The 22,380-nt window shown below is 52.3% G+C and overlaps 2 protein-coding genes, 1 long non-coding RNA gene and 1 other non-coding gene across 8 annotated transcripts in view, besides 6 other annotated features; 2 read left to right on the top strand and 2 right to left on the bottom strand.

Annotated features, from left to right (window-relative positions):
* Positions 1 to 2: 2 nt before the first annotated feature.
* ZYX (zyxin) lies at positions 3 to 9,769 on the bottom strand. Of its 5 annotated transcripts, none has more exons than NM_003461.5 (10): positions 9,705 to 9,769; positions 9,335 to 9,557; positions 8,667 to 8,866; positions 8,429 to 8,521; positions 7,792 to 8,313; positions 2,775 to 2,895; positions 2,456 to 2,625; positions 2,169 to 2,347; positions 1,137 to 1,257; positions 3 to 536 (listed from the first exon to the last, which is right to left on the bottom strand). In NM_003461.5, the coding sequence occupies exons 2-10, from the start codon at positions 9,540 to 9,542 to the stop codon at positions 432 to 434; spliced, it is 1,719 nt and encodes a 572-aa protein (NP_003452.1). In that variant the 5' UTR covers positions 9,543 to 9,557; positions 9,705 to 9,769; the 3' UTR covers positions 3 to 431. The 5 variants fall into 5 exon arrangements, with proteins under 5 accessions (NP_003452.1, NP_001010972.1, NP_001349712.1 ...); NM_001010972.2 differs by having other exon boundaries at positions 9,335 to 9,554; NM_001362783.2 differs by lacking the exon at positions 8,429 to 8,521.
* On the bottom strand, positions 8,314 to 8,428 carry MIR6892 (microRNA 6892). Its single transcript, NR_106952.1, has one exon. It is a non-coding gene; the product is annotated as a microRNA 6892 (primary transcript).
* The window catches only part of FAM131B (family with sequence similarity 131 member B), a 28,905-nt gene continuing 15,334 nt past the window's right edge, over positions 8,810 to 22,380 (top strand). Inside the window, exon 1 of the mRNA NM_001371250.1 lies at positions 8,810 to 9,195. The gene's annotated coding sequence lies outside the window, so the exon portion shown is untranslated. The remainder of the gene's footprint in view (positions 9,196 to 22,380) is intronic.
* Positions 9,250 to 9,299: a silencer, noted in NCBI's record as "silent region_18724". NCBI's record gives its function as "represses an Ori minimal core promoter by ATAC-STARR-seq in GM12878 lymphoblastoid cells {active_cell/tissue: GM12878}" and the evidence as "EXISTENCE:reporter gene assay evidence [ECO:0000049][PMID:35858748]".
* Positions 9,330 to 10,359: a silencer, noted in NCBI's record as "silent region_18723". NCBI's record gives its function as "represses an Ori minimal core promoter by ATAC-STARR-seq in GM12878 lymphoblastoid cells {active_cell/tissue: GM12878}" and the evidence as "EXISTENCE:reporter gene assay evidence [ECO:0000049][PMID:35858748]".
* Positions 9,330 to 10,973: a biological region, named in NCBI's record as "NANOG-H3K27ac-H3K4me1 hESC enhancer GRCh37_chr7:143077234-143078134".
* Positions 10,073 to 10,973: an enhancer, noted in NCBI's record as "NANOG-H3K27ac-H3K4me1 hESC enhancer chr7:143077234-143078134 (GRCh37/hg19 assembly coordinates)". NCBI's record gives its function as "activates a minimal SCP1, AML or CMV promoter by ChIP-STARR-seq in primed H9 embryonic stem cells {active_cell/tissue: H9 hESC(primed)}" and the evidence as "EXISTENCE:reporter gene assay evidence [ECO:0000049][PMID:30033119]".
* FAM131B-AS2 (FAM131B antisense RNA 2) lies at positions 10,089 to 11,959 on the top strand. Its single transcript, NR_161353.1, has 2 exons — positions 10,089 to 10,848; positions 11,005 to 11,959. It is a non-coding gene; the product is annotated as an FAM131B antisense RNA 2 (long non-coding RNA).
* Positions 10,860 to 10,949: an enhancer, noted in NCBI's record as "active region_26793". NCBI's record gives its function as "activates an Ori minimal core promoter by ATAC-STARR-seq in GM12878 lymphoblastoid cells {active_cell/tissue: GM12878}" and the evidence as "EXISTENCE:reporter gene assay evidence [ECO:0000049][PMID:35858748]".
* Positions 11,130 to 11,209: an enhancer, noted in NCBI's record as "active region_26792". NCBI's record gives its function as "activates an Ori minimal core promoter by ATAC-STARR-seq in GM12878 lymphoblastoid cells {active_cell/tissue: GM12878}" and the evidence as "EXISTENCE:reporter gene assay evidence [ECO:0000049][PMID:35858748]".

Below are 22,380 nucleotides of genomic sequence, written 5' to 3'. Positions count from 1 at the left end.
AATTCTGGAAAACAAGGTTTTTTTTTATTTGTAGCTATAGCTACAACTTGGCAGCATGGGGGAGGGTGGGAATGTCCTGGAGGGTCTCCCAGCCCTCCGCAAGCAGAGTACAAAGGCTGCTCGGGGGGCCGGCCGAGGGCGCGGGTGCAGCAGTGAAAGCAGCAGCACTAAACCTGGTGCCCCCCTCAGGTGGGGTGTCTGGAAGACGGTGGGCAATCCCTGCAGGATGGGCGAGGACCAGACCCCAGGGCGGGGATCCTGCATCCCTAGACCATGTTGGGTCCTGGGTCAGGGCACCTGGGATGCTAGGGAGGGGTTGGAAATGGGAGGGGCTAGACATCAAAACAATAACTGAGGTGGGGGCAGGTGGTCTCAGTGTGGGTGGTCCACAATGGGGCATGGACTGCGGTCTGAAGAGGGCCTGTCCTCACTCAGGTCTGGGCTCTAGCAGTGTGGCACTTCCGACAGAGCACGTGACCGTCCAGGGGGAAGCAGCCATTGTCATCTGCCTCAATCGACAGGGGCTTCCCGCAGTCCTGGGAAGAAGGAAGGGTGAGGGGCACTGGACCGGAAGGCCCCTGCTCTGCTCCACCCTACCCCACCCCATCCAGCTCCATCTTGGAATTAGAAAGATGCTTCATGGCTCAGAGCTGGTGTCATCGCTTTTTCCAGCCACACCCAACTCCCCATCCCTATCCTACTTCCAGTCACCCACTAGGACCTTCCTGCAAGAGGGCAAGCAGTGGGTAGAGCTGCTCCCAAGGTGCTTGCTCCCCTGCCCACCACCACCCTAATAAAATAGAGGTTGGCTCACCTCCATTCGAAGACCTCTTCTCTCAGCTCCTGTTTCCCCATCCCCTACCACGGTAAAACACCATGCCCTTCTTCTCTCCTATTGGCTTGTCCCATTTCTTGGCTTATCCATGACTCAAAGTGACCTCAGAAGCCCCACAGCCCCATTTCCTGCAGTGGCAGGAAGCATTCTGGCAGGACAGATGGGGTGCCACCATGAGCCACCCTCAAAATCACAGCCCTGTTTCCTGAATGCTGGTGCTTTCCACCTCCCAGTTAGTAAGCAGCATCTCCCGCCACCTCCTGGTCAGAACCTGCCCAAGGAGTCCAGAGGGATGGCTGACCTCACACTTGTAACACTTCATGTGGAAGTTCTTGTCCAGGGCGACCACTCGCACAGTCTCATCTCGGCCAGGCTCAGGCATGATGGGCTCAGAGCAGACGGAGCACCTCGGGGCGTACTGCCTGGAAGGGGCAGAAAGGGCCAGCCGAGTTAGCCAGGGCTTTCATCCCCGGTGTGCGCACGCATAAGCCAGGTTGGGCAGCAAGGAAGCAGACTTCTCTGCCCTGCATCTCCAGGTGAAGGAAGCTCACCAGAAGGGCCTAAGAGTGAGACACCATGACTGGCCCTCATCAAAGGGAATTTCCTGCCTCACCAGTCACTCTCCCAAAGCAAGGGAGCCTCCCACACACCTGCCACGGTGTTCTCTCCCACTCGACCCTTACTGTCCCATTCACACTGCAGCTCCTGCAGAAAGCCAGCCCTGAGGTACCCCTCCCATCCCATCCTGGGTCCCTGACCCTCACCTTCCCCCAATCCTCCCACCCCCATGCACGTTGCCTCTGCCCTGACTGTCTGGCACTGTGGAGGGATGTGAAGTTGTGGCCACCCCAGATGGAATCCTGAAAGTGTTTACCCAAACACTCTGTCAGAGGTGGGGGTCAGATTCTGCACTGTTCCCACAGCTGCACTGAGGTTCTGCGGGTCAGCCTGAAAAAGTAGCCACCTTCTAAACACTATTTCTGGGGAGAAACCAGAAATCCAAACAGCTGATCTCCAAAAGAACTTTTAGAACCCAGCCTGTGTGTGAGATGAAGTCACTCCAGCACACTTCACGAAATGCTGACATACACCCACAATAAGCTTCAGTGATCAAGGGCGAGGGAGGGACCAGACAGCAGCAGGACTCGATGCCCAGGCCTAAGGCCCCTGGACAGCTACATCCCGATGACTTGGTCCCTGCTGTTTACAGACAGGACATGGGACCAGAAAACACCACCAGGGGTTTGGGGCTGTCCTGAGGCTAGGGTAGCAAGCAGCCGGGCTACCAGACCAAGCACGCCGGGAACCCAGAAGGCAGGTGGCAGGTCCTCACTTGTGGTAGTCGGGGACACAGTGGGGCCGGTTGGCCTGGTCCACGATGAAGGAGGTGCCCTCCAGGGGGCGGGCGCAGACCACACAGGTGAAGCAGTGCGGGTGATAGGCCTTGCCCGTGGCCCTCAGCATGCGGTCAGTGATGGGCTCCCCGCAGGTGTTACACTTCTCCAGGGTGTCCTGAGGAGGCAGCAGGAGGAGGTTGGCAGGGAACCGGCACCCCACAGCAAGCTTCCAGGGCCCGACTGCCCAGCACAGCCCAGCACAGCCCAGCACAGCCCGACTCACAGTGTAACAGCCCTCGCAGTACGGCGCCCCCTCCAGACTGTAGAACTGCTGGCCCTGGAGCTGCTGCGCACACTGGTGGCAGGTGAAGCAGGCGATGTGGAACAGCTGCCCTAGAGCGCGGACGGCTGGCTGCGCCCGGGCCAGGGGTTGATGGCATCGGCCGCAGAGTTCTGGGAAGGCCAGAGAAGACAGCAGTAAATAGAAGGAAGTATGTAGAGCTGCGAGGGATCAGCCAGCTCAGATAGGGAGTGGAGCCACAGCCCTGGCCCCCACCGTGATGTGGGGGCAGGGTGGGGGTGTCCCGGTGGGGTGGGCTCACCGTTGACAGCCACATTCTGCCTCTGAGGATGCTCCATGTCCTGCATTAGCTGCTGGGTCAGCTGCTCCAGCTCCTCCACCTCCTTCAGAGTCAGGGGCCCTGGGGCCCCAGGGGAGCGCACCTGCAATCCCAACATTTTCCTCACACTCTAGAGGGCTGCTGCCTCCAAGAACCTTCCCAGGCCAGCCTACCCGGCTTCTTCCGATGAGGCTTAGCTCCCAGCTCGTGTCCCAGATGCTCAGGCTTGACCCTTAAAGCTTCTCCCTCGTCCCCCTACCCCCGCCATCCCCAGCACCACACAAATAACAGGGGAAGGGACCTAAGCCTGGATCTCGTACAGCAAGACATTTCCACCCACTCTGCCCAAACCCCCTGAGCAGTCACAGACAGGCCAGAATGACTGGGCGGACGGAGGCCACGCACACAGCAGCTCGGGTCACTGAAGCACCGGACACTCCAGGGCCACGCATCAACTCCACAGAGCATGCTCGGACATCGCCCCCATGGGACAGGGGCACGCAATGGCGTGCACACACGCGCACACACACCTACCCGGCCTGCCTGCTGCTGAGCAGCCCCTGTCAGCGTGAGGATACAACACAGGCAGGAATTGCAGGTTAAACCCACTGAGCTGTCTGCAAGAACCCAGCCCCACCCCCACACAGAGACCCTGTCCCTCGAGTGAGGGGCCTCTGAACTACCTCACTCAGGTCCCTCCCCAGCAGCCTCAGAGAAGGTCCAAAGGCCACCCCCTAGGCCAGCCCAACCTTCCCATTTAGGGGATCCCGGGGACTGGAGTGGGGGGTGGATGTTAAGGACAGCGCTGCCAGTAACCCTGAGAGGTAACCCTGAGAACTCCGGGAAGGGCTGTCTGACCTGCATCAGCACTGCCGGGAGACACGCCCACAGGAGCAAGTGCACTGGGTGGGTCTTTTCTATGTCTGGAAAAGCCTACCCAGGACTGTGGCCCCATCACTGAGTGTGCTACCTGCAGATGCCTTCATTCCCATAACACCTGGAACCTCCAAAGCCCCCCTGCTACCTCCTCCCATAGCCCCTCTCCCCTCAGCCCTGGCTTCACTGCCCCTCACCCCGACCCCCATCTGTACCCAGAGTTGCGTCCTTTCTGCCCAGTGAAGCATGCGTCCATATAAGTCCAACTCTCCAGATCTTAGCCATTTTCCCTTAAGATCTTAGCCATCTTCCCTTAAGATCCTACCATCTCTTAACTGACTCGTTCCCTGGAACACTCACTTCAACTTTGTCTCCTCCAATCTTCCCTTCCTGGCCTCTTGGGGACACAGTGAAGGGGCTCAGTCAGTCCTTGCTCTCCAGTGCCATTCTAAATGCCTGGCTCCTCCTTCAGAAGCACAGAATCCTCATCTGCATCACCTCCCATGGGTATCCCCATTCATCAGGACACTCTATCCAGAACTGCCCCCTCTGCCAGCCTGCACCAATGCCACCGCTTCAAACCAAACTTCCGTCCATCTCAGTCATCATCCATCATGGGACATCCTTGACCTCAGATTTACCTCCAAGTCTCTTGCCAGCCATTATCTGCCTCTCCTCTTCCCCATCCACACCTACTACATGAACCCAGAAAAGCCTTAGTTGCCCCCACCCGCAACCCACCCCTGGACTTTGTCCACCATGCCCCAGCCTGGTCCCATGACCATCTAACTCCTACAGGGTTCACTGTCCCTCCGGGCACCTGCAGCCACCCGCAGCTATCCGGCCCAGTCTCCAACCCCAAGTCACACCACCACCCTCTTCCTGTTTCTGCTTCCAAGCTGCAGAAAGCAGTGGAGAGATCACTGAACACTGCAGCGTGAGCTCACAACACTGCAGCACCCGCGCGACCTCCAGCCCAGCCTTCCCCACAGCAGCCGTTCCAGACCTCTCCATCTCCTGAGCCCCCACCTGCTTCGTCCCTTTGCTCGCACCGTGACCTCACCTCCCACATGGTTGAGGACATGGAAGCCAGCCAGCTTAAGCTCCCTCATCGTCCTTCCTATCCACGCTGCAACCACTCTGTCCTTGCTGTCTGGTATGCCTCTGGGGGAGGAGACATCACCAAGATCTCCTCCAGGGACCGAAGCAGCCTGCCCCTGCTCTCCCACAACACTCACCCTCCATCACCTGCTTCCCCGGGTTACACACGTACCTGAGCCCTTCTCCCCTAACTTGCAAAAACCACATATGCTACACCACAGACTCAAACACACACACCCTCACACATACCCACATACCACTCACATGCACACACACATACCAGACCACACACATACACCACTCACATACACTCACACATATACCACACCACACACACACACTCACACATATACCATACCACACACACACACACCACTCACATTCAGATAATACCACACCAGGCCAGGCGCGGTGGCTCACACCTGTAATCCCAACACTTTGGGAGGCTGAGGCAGGCAGATCACTTGAGGTCAGGAGTTCGAGACCAGCCTAGCCAACATGGTGAAACCCCATCTCTACTAAAAAATACAAAAATTAGCCAGGTGTGGTGGAACGTGCCTGTAATCCCAGCTACTTGGGAGGCTGAGACAGGAGAATCGTTTGAGCCAGGGGGGCGGAGGTTGTAGTAAGCATGGGCGACAGCCTGCACTCCGTCTCCAAAAAAAAAAAAAAAAAAAAAAAAAAGATATACCACACCACACGCTCACACACACCACTCACATATATACACATACGCCACTTGTGTGTATTTGTAAGAAAGTATGTATGTGCACCTTCACTTGTGCAATCACACACCATACACATCACAGCCACACTCACACATGCACACACCTTCACTCACACATGCACACATGTACTCATATACACATACTTTCACACAATCACACTACACACATCACACGCCACTCATACATTCATGCTCACACATGCACATACACTCACATACACCATACCCACACCCACACACTAACACACACACACACGCCACTCATATATTCACATATGTGTATATATACACACACACACACCACTGACACACAGTCCTTCCCTTAGTCCTTTAAGACCAGGCTACACCAGCAGCCCCACTTCTCACCACCCACTCTCTCCTCAACTCCTCACATTGTGTTCCCACCACAGGGCACAAACAGGCCATCCCAAGACCGCTGATGATTTCCCAACAGTCTAATCTCTAGCCTTGAGTCCTCACTCCCTCAAATACCCCACTGAGGAGCTCAGCTCTCTTCTCCAAGTGCACCCTGACTCTCCTCCTGACTCTTCTTCCCGCACCTCCTGGTCCCCGCTGTCTGCACTCCCTGGGAAGCTCCTCCGCTCCGACCCTGACCCTCCAGCGTCACAGTGTCACTGTGCCCCACTACCATGCTAGACATCTCTGGCCCTCTCCTGAAACCTAGCCCTGGATTTCTAGCTGAATGACGGCCCCAGCTGAAAGTCCTCCTGGGACCTGTTGCTCAAAACGTTGACAGCTGGACCCCTCCTCTTCCCGTCCAAACCATTTCCCCTTCTGGACTTCTCTATTTTGTCAGCAATCCTGCCATCCGCCCACACCCCATCTCCAAATCGTGCTGGAGACTTTTTTTTCCCTCTTCCCCTCACCCTTGTCTTCCAATTGCTCATCCCTTGCTAAGTCCTGGAGGCTGTGCCTTCCCAACAGCTCTAGCACACAGCTCTCACATGCACGGTTTAATTTTCATTGCAGCTAACATTACTATTGCCCAAGAGTGAATTCACACCCATCACTGACCTCCCTCGAATACACATCTCTGCTGGTGAAACTTTCCAGAAAGCTTCCAAAAACACTGCTTTCACCAGCCCTCCTGACCCACCCCACACCTACTCAAAAATCATGAATGCCTCTCCAGTGCTCAAGAGCTCCTTGGGTGAGCCACTTCACCTCCTACACCCTCCAGCCCCGCTTGCCTCTCCAAGTATAGCTCTATCATTTTCCTACAGGAACCTTCCACTTTCTGTTCTCCAAACATCCCTCTCCTCTCTGGATTCTTACGTCCTGCCCATCCTTCGAAGCCTTTCCTAATTTGACTCCCCGAGTTGACTCCCTGGTCTGAGTGCCTGTGACTCACAGGATTCTGCAAAGCTCACTGGCCCTTGGCATTTCTTCCTATGCTGTGTCCGAGTGTAGGTAGACATCAACACTATCAGTGGACTCTGGATGCTTGGACTAGATGACCATCAGGGTCATCTTCGTCACCAGAAATTGGACGATCTTATTTCCTGAACTAGAAGGCAAGAACCATTTTGTAATTACAGCTTTTCTATTTTGAGCATTCCTGTACTAGATACAGAACCCAACACTCTCTAGGTATTAGCTCACCCAATCTTCACAACCACTGTATGGAGTAGAGAATGTTAAAGATTGAGAAACTGAGGCTCAGGGTTCACCTAACTTGCCCAGTCTAAGGACTTGGGAGAAGCTGAGCCAAGAATTCCATTCCAGGTCCATCTGACACCTGAAGGCTGAGCTTCTTGCAGAGATCTCTTCCCTCCCATGTCCTACCCTCCTGGGCACAGAGCACAGTGCCTGGCACGTGGTGGATGCTGGCTCAACCAGTGTTTACTGGGGCTGTCTCTTACCTCCAAGCCCTCAGGCAGAAAGAGTGCTCAGAGGAGCAGGGAGATTAACTCAAGACCCAAGAATGGGAAAAACCAAGGTGGAACTGGTGATCTCATCCCTCCCTTTAACTTTCTGGGGTAAAGGCACAAGGAAAGGTCCACCAGATCCTCCTAATTCAGAGCCCATGCTCTCTGCGCCGTCCCAGCCAGGCCCCACCCAGCCCCACACCCAGCCAGGCCTCTCCTCCAGAGGAGCATTTTCCTACCATTGTTCCACCAGGCTAACCCCAGAGGATGAAAATTCCTATCCCGCCACCCCGCAACCCCCGTGTCCACCCTGACTCTCCAATCACCTTATGCTTATGCTCTGGCTCCTGACCCAGCCCCGCCCCAGTGCCCTGGTACCAAGCCTTGTCCTATCACCATCCCTCACCTGGTTTTGGTTCTGAGCCGGTGGGGGCACGGGGTGCTGCTTCTCCTGCACTCGGGGCTTCTCCCTCTGCTGGGCATAGGTGAAGCTGGGAGGTTGAGGGGAGCCTGTGCCAGCAGAAAGAGCTTCGGGGTGCCCCAATTTTTGATTTGGTTGTGACCCAGATCCACCTGGGGCTCCAGGACTGAACTTGGAAGCCACAGGAGTAAACTTAGGAGTCACTGGAGAAAACTTAGGGGCTGGAGCCGGAGATGAGGCTGGGGGCCCTCGGGGCTGGGTGTTAGCCAAAGACACAGGCTGGGTCTGGGACTGGACATGGAGTTGGACCTGAGGCTTGGGCTGGGGCTGGGGCTGAACATGGAACTGTGTCTGGCTCTGAGCCGGAGCCGGAACCTGGGGCAGAGGCTGGGAGCTGGAAGGGGACTTCCAAGGAGGCAGGGGTGCTGTGCCCCCGGCTGCAGGCTTGGTACTGGACTTGGAACTGAATGGAGTGGCCACTGGTGGGGGCACATATCCAGATGACACCTGCAAGGGGTGGGAGAGGGAAGAGAGATGCAGTCAGGAGGACACCATCCTCCTTAGTTCTATGCCCAGTCTCTCTGGCCCTGAGCCCTGCTTTTCCTACTCTCCGGTCCCTTACCCGGGCTTTGAAAGGATCATTCTTGGTCATGTCATCCAGCAGTGAGGACAGAGAGTCGATCTCCAAATCAATACTGCTCACCTTCTCCCTGGGCTAGAGGGTCAGAGGTCAGAGCACCTATTCCATGCCTCTATCCCCCCACCCCCAAGGCAGAGGTGCAGGGGAGGTAAGAAGAAAGGGCCCTCTTCTCCTCTCCTTGGGGGTGTCCAGTGCAGCCGCCCCTCCCAGGCCTCCGTACCTGTGGTGGGGGCGGTATGGGGGCCTCAGGCCCTCCCTCCTCCTCCGGAGGAGGCGGCGGGGAAGGGAAGATCTCCTCCTCCAGAGGCGCAGGGGGAAATGATTCCTCGATCGGGGGAGGGGGCGGCGGGAAGGCACCTCCCAGAGCACCCTCTGCATCGTCGCCATCCCCAGCAAGGGGAGGTGGAGGCAGGGGAAAGTCTGGGGTAGGAAGGAGAAAGACGTCGGCCGGGGTCCCTCTACCCCTCACCCAAGCTCCCCTCAGTTAACCGCTCTAACCCCTAACCCAAGAACTCTCTCAGGGGTCCCAGAGCGTGTGGGGAAGCAAAGGAGGGGCGCAGGGCGCCCTGGGAGTACCAGGTCAGGAAAGGCCGGGCGCACTGCCGAGGAGTGGTGCAGCTCCCGTTACACTTCGGAAAACGGACCCGGAGGGGAAGATTCGTGCCCCACATTCCCGACTCCCACTCCCAGGCGGGGGACTTGGAACGGTCCCAGGAGCCCTGGCTCCCAGCCACGAGCTCCACGATGAGGTAAGAACATCTGCTCGGGACAGGGTGGCTGCGCCCAGCCCCCTCGGCAACAACCTTTCCAGACATCCCCAAATTCCCGAAACGACTGCCCCCCACCCCGGCTCCTGCCGGGGTACATTCCCCAAGCCCCGCCGCATACCTTCCGGGGGCGGCGGGGGAATCTCGCCCACCCGGCCCATCTGTGCGCGCTGGGCCCCGGGTGCCGGGGGAGGCTCGCTGTCCCCGGGCCGGAAGGGATTCACTTTGGGCTTTGGGGCCACCACAGGGCCGAACTTCTTCTGCGGGGCGTAAAAAGCCGGAGCCGAGACCGAAACGGAGATCGCGGGAGACGGGCGGGGGGCCGCCATGGCCGGGCCGGGCTGCTGGGGTGGGTCGCCGGGTTACGCAGCGCGGAGCCGGGCTCAGGAGCCCCAGGCGGTCCCAGCTCCCCTTGGTGACCCCCACTCGCCCCCTCCCGGCGCCCCGCGCCCCCTCCCCGTGGGGCCGCCCTGCCGCTCCCCGCGCCTCACCGCAGGCCGGAGCGTGCGCGCCGCGTCTCGGGTGGCCGCCTCGGCGCCGGGTCCGCAGACTCTGCGTCCCGGTCCGGAGCAGCCTCCAGCCGGGCGGGGAGGGACACACGGAAGGAGGAGGGAGGGAGAAGAGAGGGGGCGGGGAGAGAGCGGCGCCCAGACCATACAAGGAGCGGCCCGGAGAGGGGGCGGGGAGAGCGGGGAAGGGCGGACCAGGCAGGAAACTCCCCCAGGAAGGGGCCCTGATCCTGCCTCAGGCCGGAGGCTCCGCCGAGGTCCGCTCGCCCCCACCCCACTCACTGCCGCCCCCGCCGCCCCAGCCCGGCTCAGACCCCCACTCCCTGAGCACAGGCCTCTGATGTCATTTCCTGACCTGCCTCCCCCTCCCCGCCCGACCCGCGGGTGCCCGAGATCTGACTCACCGTCCCCCTCCGGGCTTAGCCGGCGGAGGTGGGGCGGGTGCCGCCGAGGTAGCCACGCAGCCCCTGTGCGCCTCCGGCCCGGCCCAGCGACCTCCTCTCGGGCCTGCCGTTACCCGGTCCCCTCCTGCCACCACCCGCTACCCGGCCACCCCGAGTCCGCCTGGGGTGGCCGAACGTATGGAGCTGGGCTCCAGGGTGCACGGGGATGGGGGGTGAGGAGCGGGGCGTTCTCCCTCCCAGCACCCCCCAGCTGACTCTGTGCCCGGAGGGGGTGTGTGAGCCGGAACCTCCAGCATTCTTGGGGATACGAACTTCCAACGCTGGGCAGCCTCTTAAGGCTTCTAGGAATTCGCATCCCCAGCGCCCCAGCCAGCAGATCGGTTGCGAGAGGGACCGTTCGGGTCCGCGGGGCCGGGAATGGAGGTGGGAGGGCGGGGCCGAGGCGGCGGCCGCCTGCGGACTGGAGACCCGGGAGGACGGACGCGGACGCGGGCTGCTCGTCTTTTACGGCCCTTCAACGCCCACCACGACCCACTCCTCTTGGAGACCCCGGGCGACGGTGGGGCTCTTGGGCATTCTGAGACTGCGCTTGGTGGAGACCCCGGGCGACGGTGGAGCTCTTGGGCATTCTGAGACTGCGCTTGGTGGAGCCCCCTACTGGCCAGACTGGATTTCTCAGCCTGCGACTCAGCCCCAGGCTACACGAAAGAAGCCAGACCTGGGTAATTCTTCTAGTTCTTTTTTTTTTTTTTTTTAATTGCACTGGGAAACTTCCCCAATCTCGGCCCCAGTTCTTTCTCCAAACTAAGGAGTCATGGCCTTTCGCCCGCTAGTCCAGTATGCACCCGTAGGCGCTTCATTTTCTCTCCTCTTGTCAGCTTTTACTGCCTCCTGAGGCCTTCGTCTTGTTCACACTGAGTGTCCAGTCCCTCCAAATCCGGCTACACTCTACTGGCAAGGAGCACCTGGGCCATGTTTTAGAGATCATCCGAGGACTAACCCCAAAAGTTTATGAAGAGAAAGCAGAGGCCGAGCTGAAGAGATGGACCCGGGTCACACCCAGGTAAAGGCAGGATCTAAACTGAAACTGGTGTCAGATCTGGTTGCCTTGCACCCCTGATATCAGGTGAAGCAACACTGGGCAGGATAGAGCAGAGTGAGGTCAGAGTGTGAAGATCCAGCCTGATGCCCAAACTGACGCCTCTTCATTCTCCCCTGCTCCATCTGTAAACGTCACGGTTAATCCATCTACTTTATTGCATTATATAGAGAAATAAATGAAATGTCATAGCTGTATGCGCTATATGACTCAGTATTATTATTCAAATTCCAGTTCTGCCCAGAATGAAAATTCTGACCTGGTTACACTAAGGCGTTTTCCCCCATATGTCCCTTTCTGGGTTGCCAGGCAGATCTCTCAGGGGCCTCGGTATGTGCAATGTCCTCTCTTTCCTTCAACCTTATTAAGTCTTTAATTATACCTAGGACGACATCTTAATCACTTTTGCAAACCCCACTGATCTTTTTCTCTGGCATCTCATTGTCTTTGTCACCACCAGTATTTCTCACAGCCACAGGCATGTGTGGCCATGTATGATGGGTAGTACGCAGTGCACACCTCTCTGACACGCTCAAGCCAGCCCTGGGCCTGTCTCTGAAGACATGTTAGAAATTTGATACTGGATTTCCTGTGCATGTTGGAGATTGTGTCTTGGGCTTCACAGACCAAAAGTCTCATCACAAATCCTTCAAAATATGGCCCCTTTGGGGAAAAAAAGATAGTTAAGAAGATGATTTCAAGATAACTCATAGGAATAAAAGCTATCTACCCTCTAAATGTCTCCTTAAGTAATGTGCGCGTGCAAAATAGAGTATGTGTAATTGTTAGGCAGCTGAACCTATTTTTAAATCAGAAATAGAAGAGTGCGTAGGCAGGCATAGTTTTACTGACAACTAAGAGCATTCAGAATGCGGAATATTCAAACAAAGACTTTTAAGCCAGCCATTCTAAATACAAGTAGAAACACCCAGAGTATCCCAGAAGAACAGAATCACTGCCCAAGATGTCTCAAGAGGAGCAGCAGAGTCAGTGCTCTTAAAATGAAGACAATGGGCTGGGCGCAGTGGCTCACGCCTGTAATCCCAGCACTTTGGAGGCCAAGGCAGGCAGATCACTTGAGGTCGGAAGTTTGAGACAAGCCTGACCAACGTGGTGAAACCCAGTCTCTACTAAAAATACAAAAATTAGCCTGGTGAGGTGGCGGGAGCGTGTAGTCCCAGCTACTGGGGAGGCTGAAGCAGGAGAAGAATCGCTTGAACCCAGGAGGCGGAAGTTGCAGTGAGCCAAGATCACGCCACTGCACTCCAGCCTGGGCAACAGAGTGAGACTCCATCTCAAAAAAAAAAAAAAAAAAAATGCAGGAAATGAACAAGAGTGGCCTTAACGATTGCTGGGCATTTTTCTTAAGTAAGCAATTCTAATTGATATCCTTAGGCAGTATGTGTGAAGTACAGCAAATAAGAAGATGTTCCTGACTAAAGAATGCCCAACAGCTTAAGACCAGGCCAGGGAGACAAAGTGAGAAAATGGCCACTGCCCTTTACTACCTAAAACATCTTCACGCGCCTCCAAGGATTTATAACCATCAGGTACCAGAAAGTTTTCTTCAAGAGTGCACAGCATAAAGTAGGAAGTTAAGAGCAGTCAGGGAAGGAAAATGAAAAGACAGTGTCACAACAAAAGAATGATTTCTAAAATGGAAAGAGAAATGTGACCAGGAGGTTCTTTCCATATGCCAACTGCAGATGGATAGAGGTTCACTCACGGGCCAGGGACCACGTGAAGCATTCTGAAAACAGCAACAATAGCAGCACCCTAATAACATCAACAACTATAATAGCAGCACACGCTGAGAGAATGCTTAGAATATTGTTTGAGGTGCAATGCTAAGCACTTTAAATATATTAGCCCTGGCCAGGCACAGTGGCTCACGCCTGTAATCCCAGCACTTTGGGAGGCCAAGGTGGGTGGATCACCTGAGGTCAGGAGTTCAAGACCAACCTGGCCAAGATATAGTGAAACCCCATCTCTACTAAAAATACAAAAATTAGCTGGGCGTGGTGGCACGTGCCTGTAGTCTCAGCTACTCAGGAGGCTAAGATGGGAGAATCACTTGAACCTGGGAGGCGGAGGTTGCAGTGAGCCAAAATCGCACCACTGCATACCAGCCTGGGTGACAGATCGAGACTCTGTCCAAAAAACAAACAAACATATATGTATGTTTGTTTATATATATATTCGCCCCTTCTAATCATCACTATAAACCTGTGAGGAATATACATCATTATCCCATTTTTTAGTTAAGGAAACTGAGGCTAACTGGATGTTGGATTTCTCACCTCCTAAACTGCAAAATTTTTTTGCAACACAAATATTAAGACTCTCCTGCCCCATCCTTGCTTCCATCCTTGTATTCCATCACTTCTCCTCAGGCCCTCCTACCTGGTCCATCAACAGCCCCTTTCAAGTCTGCCTTCACCCCAACACCCCTACTTTATACCTGTGGGCTACCATTTTCTCTTTCTGTCTCATGACACCATCAAATTCTGTCTGTTTATATATCTATCTGCATGTGAACACATACACACATTTTGTATATGCAAGCTATATGTATACGTGCTTTTGTAAAATAGCACATTTCCAGAAGATGTCAAGAATTGTTAACAGCACAGCCAGGCGCAGTGGCTCATGCCTGTAATCTCACCACCTTGGGAGGCTGAGGTGGGAGGATCACTTGAGGCCGGGAGTTCAAGACTAGGCATGGCCAACATGGAGAAACCCCGTCTCTAGAAAAAATACAAACATAAGCCGGGTTGGTGGTGTGCGCCTGTAATCCCAGCTACGAGAATTGCTTGAACCAGGAGGTGGAGGTTGCAGTGAGCCGAGATCGAGATCGTGCCACTGCACTCCATCCTGGGCGAGGAATGCGACTGTGTGTCAAAAAAATAAACAAATAAAAAAGAATTGTTAACAGTAGTTAATGTTAGGGAGTAGATTGAGGAGGACAGAAGGCTTTTATACTTTTGTATTTTGTCCCTGTGAACATGTATTACTTTATAATCTGAAAAAAGAAAGGAGAGAAATGAAAGAGCCGTTGTATCTTTTTCCTGATATTGGAGCACCTCCCTTGCGCTGAGTACTGTGTGCACTCGGCCTGCAGCTTCCCACTTGCTCCCAGATTTACTGCCCCTCTCATCCCACTGGCCTGCATGCCAGTACAAAAGAATCTCTCCCTGAGGGAACTGCAGACACGGTGGATGATGAACCATGGATGGGTTGGGCGCGCATCAGGATGAGGTCTGGGTGAAGCACACAGCAAGACCCAGAGACCTTTGCAGTCAAGGCCAAGGTTGAGCAGCCTCCTGCCCTGTCCAAGGGCCACTCCCCCAAGAGAGGGGTGGGACTGACAACCACAAATGCCCACGTTTCCTTCTTTCTTCAGGGTCAGCCCAGGAAGCTGACATCAGAGCATCATCCCCTATACACTTTCCCTCCCATTCCCAACCTCAGTTCAGCCAACATTTACCAGTTAATTTCTATATTCTAGGCACTCTGGATATAAAGAAAAATAAACTCAGTTCTTGCCCTCAAGAAACTCTCCATCTGGGGGGAAAATACTTAAGTAGATAGTTTTAGTATAATAAGTGTTAAGATTAGAAAAAAAAATTTTCTAATCACCCACCCAATAGAGCTGGCTTGGTGTGGCTACTAATTACAATACCTGGGTGGCCTTCTCACCATGTAACCTCATTATTATCCCACCGGATCAGAAGCAGCAGTGAGGATTCCAGGACCAGGGAACCAGAATCTACATAAGGCATCCAGGGAGCAGAGGTCAGAGAAGCAGGAGAAGGCAGGAGTCCCCTCATCCCAAGGGCTGGGCCAGATGGGCACCCAAAGGCACTGCAAGCATCAGCAGCCAGAAATGTGTGGTGGGTGGAAGGGGCAGAGCGAGGCAGATGGTCAGATGGCGAGGAGTCAGCAACCAAGGGAGCTGAGAAGGGCAGACAGGAAAAGAGACCCAAGGCACCAACAGCAGCACAGCCAGGTTGCTGGCACCGAGGCAGCCGCTAGTGGAGCATCAGCTGCCTTCATTCTCTGTGCACCCAGAGGAAGCCAAAATCAGAGAGCCTGGCCTAGAAGCTGGAGTGTTTGTCACTGAAAATAGCCGACTAAGTCACTGGCAGGAGTAAACATTGCAGAGAGTGGAGGTTGAATGTAGGTAGATAACCCATCTTGCTTGAGGTGACAAGTACTAGTTGTCTCTAGTTGCTCCCCCACCTCCACTTCCTTTAATAAGGTGGGCTTCATATAAAGAAACCCACTAGGCTGAACTGACACAGGAAGTGGGTGCTTCTGAGTCACCCTCAGAGCTTGCTCAAGCTTCCTTAGGCTGCCCTTCCTGCCACCCTGTCTGTAGTTATTTATGCCACCCCCAGAGATGTGACCCATGTAGCCAATGGACACTGTCTCAGAAAAAGGGAACAGGTGGACCTATTCAGGTCTACCAACAGCAGACTCAGACTCTCAACATGCCTGAGCAAGCCAGTAGACAGGCCTTTGTACCCAAGCGTGAGATGCTACCAGAAGACAGTCGTGCCATTCAGCTAGCTCCCTGGTTCCAGCAAAGTTGTTCCAGTGTGCCTAAGAATAGTGGAGTAGGGCAGGCCCAGCACAGTGCATTTGCTGTGTACATTTGCTGACTGAAACTGAGTTCCAGAACCATTGAAAGCTCACTCTAGATCAAGGCAGGCCCTGTATTTGGTAAAGCTTAAGGACTTTCATTGCATCACGAATTATTCATTCATTTATTCAGCAAACATTTACTGGGCACCTACTATGTGCAGGACAGTTTGTTAGGTGCTGGGGACATAATAATGAGCAAAGACAGGCATGATCTCAGCCCTTGGTGAGTTCAGGCCTTTGGAGGGTCTCCTATGGGAGATAAACACTAATTAAATAATGACAGACAAATGCAAAACTGCAACTGTTACAGGAACCTCAAGAGAAAGGAATAGGATGCATCCGGTAGAGCCTGTACATGGGAGATGTGACCTGGTTGGGGAGCTCAGGAGAGGGAAGCCCAAGCAGAGATCTGAACGGTAAGCAGAAGTTAAGTATGCAAAGTGGAAGGAGAGGAATATTCCATGCAAAAGGAGAAGTGTTTGCAAAGCCCTGTGACAGCTGTGGGCGCACTAGAGACCCCAAGGCAGGTAGGTGTGGCTGGAGTGTCAAGACAGAGATTCCTCACTGGAGGTACAGGGTGAGGAAAGGCTGGACAGGTGGGTGCAGAGAGGTTGCAGAGCATGTGAAAGGGTTTCAACTTGATCCTGAGAGCAATGGGGAACTACCGCAGAGTTTTCGATTGAAAAGAGGGGCGTGAAGAGACTTGGGAATTTTGAAAGTGTCGCCTTAGGGGCAGTGTGGAGAGTCACAGGAGAGGCCAATGCAGATGTGTGAAGGACAATTAAAAGGTTCTGGTAGAGCTCGAGGTGAAAGGGAGGAGATTTGTGGAAATGGACAAAAGTGGATAGAGTAGAGAGCTTTTTAGGACATGAACTCGTCCACAGAAAGAATGGGACAAAGGGAGAAAGAGACATCACAGGCCCATCCCAGCTTCTGGTTGGTACCTATGTGGAGCGTGGCACTCTCCACTGAAAAGTACAGGTCTGGGAGTGAGATTGTGTGTTTCATTCTGGACGTACTGAGAATGAGTAGGCGCACAGTGGGCAGTAGGATATCCAGGTCCAAGGCAGAGAAAAGAAAATTATACTGAAGATCCACATTTATAAGTCATCTACCTCCAAATAGCAATTTGAAGCCATTATTGGCTGAAAAAAAAAATCACCTATCAAATATTGCATGAACAGTCGAGAGGGCTAGGATATGGGCTTTGCTGGATTCTAGCATTTTATGGTTAGGTGGAAGAGGGAGGTATGCACTTTCTGAGTAAAAGTCACCCTCACTCAGATGCAAGGCACATCTGCTCTTCCCCAGGCCTCTGTGTCTCTGCCAGCAGTAAAGAAAGGATGCTTACTCCTCCCACTTTGCCTACACTGTGAGCGCAGGAGTGCCTTGCCCACAGTTGCTCGCCTGGAGACCACCAGAGCTAATTTTATTAAGTCCTGTATTAAGTCCCTTTTATTAACCCCAGAATGTCACTTATGGAAAGAAGCCCTAAATTCCTAGCTCCTGCTACACCTTGGTCCCTGGCTCAACTCCTGAAAACCAGTCCAGGGTGCCTTCAGAGCATGTAGGCCCTTTTCAGCAAGCATTCCTCTTTTTTGAGCATCCTCTCTCCTTCTTATTCTAACCTGGATCATCCCTGAGGACACACCGCCTCAGCGCCCCCCACCAGGTGGCAGACAATGTTTTCCCCATAGCCCTGAATGTGGAACAGATATCTCTTTGAACTCTCATTGCTATATCCAGACAATTCTCCCTCCCTCCTTCCTAAAATCCCCCAGTTTTGAATGTCACGTGATTAAACTACACAACTACTGCACATCCTATATAGTCATCTGTTGCCCTGGGTCACACACCCTCATTTCTTTCTCTTGCTCTGTCACCCAGGCTGGAGTGCAGTGGTGTGATCTCAGCTCACTACAACCTCTGCCTTCCAGTTCAAGCGATTCTCCTGCCTCAGCCTCCTGAGTAGCTGGGATTACAGGTGCGCACCACCACACCTGACTAATTTTTGTATTTTTAGTAGAGATGGGGTTTCACCATGTTGGTCAGGCTGGTCTGGCACTCCTGACCTCAAGTGATCCACCTGCCTCAGCTTCCCAAAGTGCTGACATTACAGACGTGAGCCACGGTGCCTGGCCAAGAGTAAAAATAAATGAATAAAAAGAAAAAAAATAAATGAGTAAGCCTATATACCCAAACATGTAACCACTAATGGTGTAACCACTATTTTTAAAATTATTTATTTATTTATTTATTATTATTATTTTTTAATGTTTTTGACATGGAGTTTTACTCTTGTTGCCCAGGCTGGAGTGCAGTGGCACAATGTCGGCTCAACTGCAACCTCCGCCTCCCGGGTTCAAGCGATTCTCCTGCCTCAGCCTCCCAAGTAGGTGGGATTACAGGTGCCCACCACGACACCTGGTTAATTTTTGTATTTTTAGTAGAGACGAGGTTTCACCATGTCGGCGAGGCTGGTCTCGAACTACTGATCTCAGATGATCCGCCTGTCTCAGCCTCCCAAAGTGCTGGGATTACAGGCATGAGCCACTGTGCCAGGCCTTAAAAATTATTAATGAGGTATTTTACTTTTTTGGCACTAAGTCATGGGAATTTGGTGTGTATTTTACACTTACAGCATGTCTCAATTCACGCTAGTCCCATTGCAGGTGCTCAAAGGTTACACATTGCTGGTGGCTCCCACATTGCATAGCAAGTTCTAAATAGACCCTGAGCCATCTCTGTACAATCCTAATTTTAAGCCACACTTTCTCCAACCAGCTCCTTCTATTTTTCTAGTCATTCTCTTTTTGTGCTTCGACAATCCCTTGGCCCACTGGAACTTGCCATTCACGTCCATACCAGCTCACATTTCCTGGACAATCATTACAGTCACTCCCTTACATCTGTCTCAACTTCCTGTGCCTCTTTCTCACCCTGTGGTGCTCACTTGGCAAAACCCCAGCCTGGGCTGAGTCCAATTCTACCAACTCCATGCCTGCACCCACACAGCTGGGTGGCACTACAGAAAAACATACAGCCCTTCTGACAGATCTCATTGTAAACTCCATGGCTGTGAGCTGCAGATGCCATCTGACCTTTCTACGTCCTGATAAACATACCAGTCTCGTTTTTCCATCCACTCTCCCACTCTGACTCTCTCAGAAGGCTTCTAGACCTTCTCCTCTCTCTCCACATCTCCTTCCACATCCTCATGCATAGCTGATGCCTTGCTTCCTGTTGCAAGGAGAAAATTAAACAAATTGAAAAAAAACCTTTCCTAGGCTCTACCTACATCAAATCAAACTAATCCCACATGCTCTCTGGCCTCATCTCCCAGCAATCATTTTGCCTCAGCCACAATGGCCTTGTTACTGTTCCTCCAATGTGTAAGGCACATTCCCATCTCAGGGCCTTGCATTTGCTAGTTTCTCTGCTGGGAAGGTTCTTCCACAGACATCTGTATGGATCACCCCATTATCTCCATCATAGCCTTCCTCACATGCTGACCTCTCAGTGAGGCCTCCCATGACCATCCAGTTTAGAATGACATATACCAGCCCTTTCATTATTATCCACCTCTCCTTTCTTTTTTTCTTTTCTTTTTTTTTTTTTTTTTTTTTTTGAGACAGGGTCTTGCGGTGTTGCCCAGGCTGGAGTGCAATGGCATAATCATGGCCCACTGCAGCCTCTACCTCCCAGGCCCAAGCAATCCTCTCATCTCAGCTTCTCAAGTAGCTGGGACCACAGGCATGTGCCACCAGGCCTGGCTAATTTTCTTTTTCTTTTTGTAAAGACAAGGTCTCCATATGTTGCCCAGGCTGGTCTTGAACACCTGAGCTCAAGCAATCCTCTCACATCAGCCTCCCAAAGTGCTGGGATTACAGGCATGAGCCACCACGCCTGGCCCTTCCTTAATTTTTCTTCATAGTAATTATCACCTTAAATATATCATTCCATCCTGGGTTTTGGCACTCCCCCACCAAACAATTCAGTCTCTTAATTGTTGTATTGCTGTTTCTGCCCCACCACTTCTCACTAGACTATAAGCTCCGTGACAGCAGGAGTTTTGGATCGTAGAACCTAGAGAGGTACTGACATAGAGTAGGTAGGTGCTCCTTAAATACCTGTAATATGGAATGAATGAATGAATAATGGAAAAAACTAACAAAAAAAGACAAAGAAGGAGCAGCCGGAAAGTCAAGAGGAGAACCAAGAAAGAGTGTTTGGGAATGAGGGAGTAACCATGAGTCCCTCACGAGGGTATGAAATGCCCCTGATGTGCCACTTAAGGTTAGAAATGAACAAAATCTGTTAACATGGAGGCTAAGGGTGTTACTGGAAAGAAGTCCCAATCCAGACCCCAAGAGAGGGTTCTTGGATCTCGCACAAGAAGGAACTCAGGGCGAGTCCATAGAGGAAAGTAAAAGCAAGTTTATTAGGAAAATAAAGGAATAAAGAATGGCTACTACACACACAGAGCAGCCCTGAGGGCTGCTGGTTGCCCATTTTCATGTGTGTGTATTTTTTTAAATTATATGCTAAACAAGGGGTAGGTTATTCATACCTCCCCATTTTAGACCATAAGGTAACTTCCTGAGGTCGCCATGGCATTTGTTGGCGCTGGTGGGAGGGTAGCAGTGAAGACCAGAGGTTACTCTCGTCGCCATTTCGGTTTTGGCGGGTTTTAGTCAGCTTCTTTACTGCAACCTGTTTTATCAGCAAGATCTTTATGACCTATGTCTTGTGCTAACTTTTTATCTCATCCTGTGACTTAGAATGCCATAACCGTCTGGGAACACAGCCCAGCAGGTCTTAGCCTTGTTTTACCCAGCTCCTATTCAAGATGGAGTTGCTCTGGTTCAATTGCCTCTGACAGGGGAGCCCCCCGTGTGAGCTGCTTCAGTAGAGTGAAGATGCCAGATTGGGTAAGTTGAGGAGTGCAGAGAAGTAAGGAAATGGAGAAGATGAGTGCCGGCAGCTCTTTCAAAAATTTTGGCTGTGAGAGAAACTAGAGCTCCAGGAAGAGAAAGATCAAGGGGCAAATTCCAGCTCCCACCTTAGAAGGAAGACATTGCTTGCATTCCTTGGCCCTGCCCCCAACACAGTTTTCCACCATCAGTAATAAAATTCAGGCTTGACTACCACTAGCCACCTCATGCATATACATGAACAAAGAGGTTGGAAAGGAAATTCTTCTTTAAGTTAAAGAGAGAAACACCCAGCACCTGGCGTTCAAAATTTCCAGTGTCCTTTGGACCTTCCTGCCTGTGTGGGTGCCCTGGCAGGATAATTGTGATTGATTGATTCAGTGAGTGAACAGCTTTCAAGTGGACCCCCACCCAGGAGAGCAATGCCTTGTCCCTATTAGCTTATCACCATCACAAAACCTTAACCAAACGGTGGTCTGAACCTATACACTAGGATTAAGTACCCATTCTTAAATGAGCTCTGAACTCCTAAGTTAGAAAGAACAATGGTCTTTTTTTTTCTTTTAATTTTATTGTGGTTGGTAAGAATGCTTATGAGGAGATCTACTCGCTTAAAACTTTTTTTTTTTTTTTGAGACGGATTCTCGCTCTGTCGCCCAGGCTGTAGTGCAGTGGTGCGATCTCAGCTCACTGCAACCTCCACCTCCTGGGTTCAAGCAATTCTCCTGCCTCAGCCTCCCGAGTAGCTAGGACTACAGGTGCCCACCACCATGTCCGGGTAATTTTTGTATTTTTAGTAGAGACGGGGTTTCACCGTGTTGGCCAGGCAGGTCTCGAACTCCTGACCTCAGGTGATTCACCCTCCTCGGCCTCCCAAAGTGCTGGGATTACAGGCGTGAGCCACCGCGCCCGGCCAAAACATTTTTTTAACCTGTTTTATCTGCAAGAAGTTGAACAGTCTCCATAAGCAAAAAGATTATGAGGCCTGAGCTTATTTCAACAGGGCTTAATGTTATAATAAAAGTCATAGAAAAATAATGTAACATAGCTTTAGGGGTGCATCTTAGGATAGGGAAAAGAATGTTAGACTAAGAATTAGAGGACCTGAATTTTGGTTACAGTTCAGCCACTTACTAACTCAGCCACTTACTAAGTGTGTGACTGTAAAAATCTGAGAGGTGAATTTTCCTTGTCTGTGGAAGTACAGCAAGGAACTTGATTTCTAAGTATTCAACCAGTTTTAACACTCAGTCATCTGTAACTAATGCCCTATATATCCACCACTCTTTCACTGTCGGGAAAATGCCTTCACTGTTTTTTCTCTGGACTTGATTGGCTCACTTAAATAAAGACATAGCCAACTGGAGCTACATCTACCCACTATGTATTAAACACATTATTTAGGAACAGGATCAGTTGCAGGAAAGGATAAAAGGTTTCAGGTAGTTAGACTTTGTAGGTGAAACAGATCTCCGTCCAAACAAGTGTTTGTAAGAGGAATCCAAGCTGAAGTTGCAGGATATCCCAAAAGCTAGCAAAGGAAAAGAACTGGGGAACTCAGAAGGAAAATATAT

Source organism: Homo sapiens, chromosome 7 (assembly GCF_000001405.40).
Source record: "Homo sapiens chromosome 7, GRCh38.p14 Primary Assembly".
Taxonomy (NCBI): Eukaryota; Metazoa; Chordata; class Mammalia; order Primates; family Hominidae; genus Homo; species Homo sapiens.
The sequence above is the reverse complement of the archived record's forward strand: the minus strand, read 5'-3'. Positions and strand labels throughout refer to the sequence as shown.

Excerpts from the sequence above, each read along its gene's own strand:
- ZYX (NM_003461.5), bottom strand. The coding sequence starts at position 9,542 with ATGGCGGCCCCCCGCCCGTCTCCCGCGATCTCCGTTTCGGTCTCGGCT. Across the intron at positions 2,896-7,791 it reads CGGCTCAGAACCAAAACCAG|GTGCGCTCCCCTGGGGCCCC; the intron begins GTGAGGGATGGT and ends TTGGGATTGCAG. Across the intron at positions 2,626-2,774 it reads GCAGAATGTGGCTGTCAACG|AACTCTGCGGCCGATGCCAT; the intron begins GTGAGCCCACCC and ends TGGCCTTCCCAG.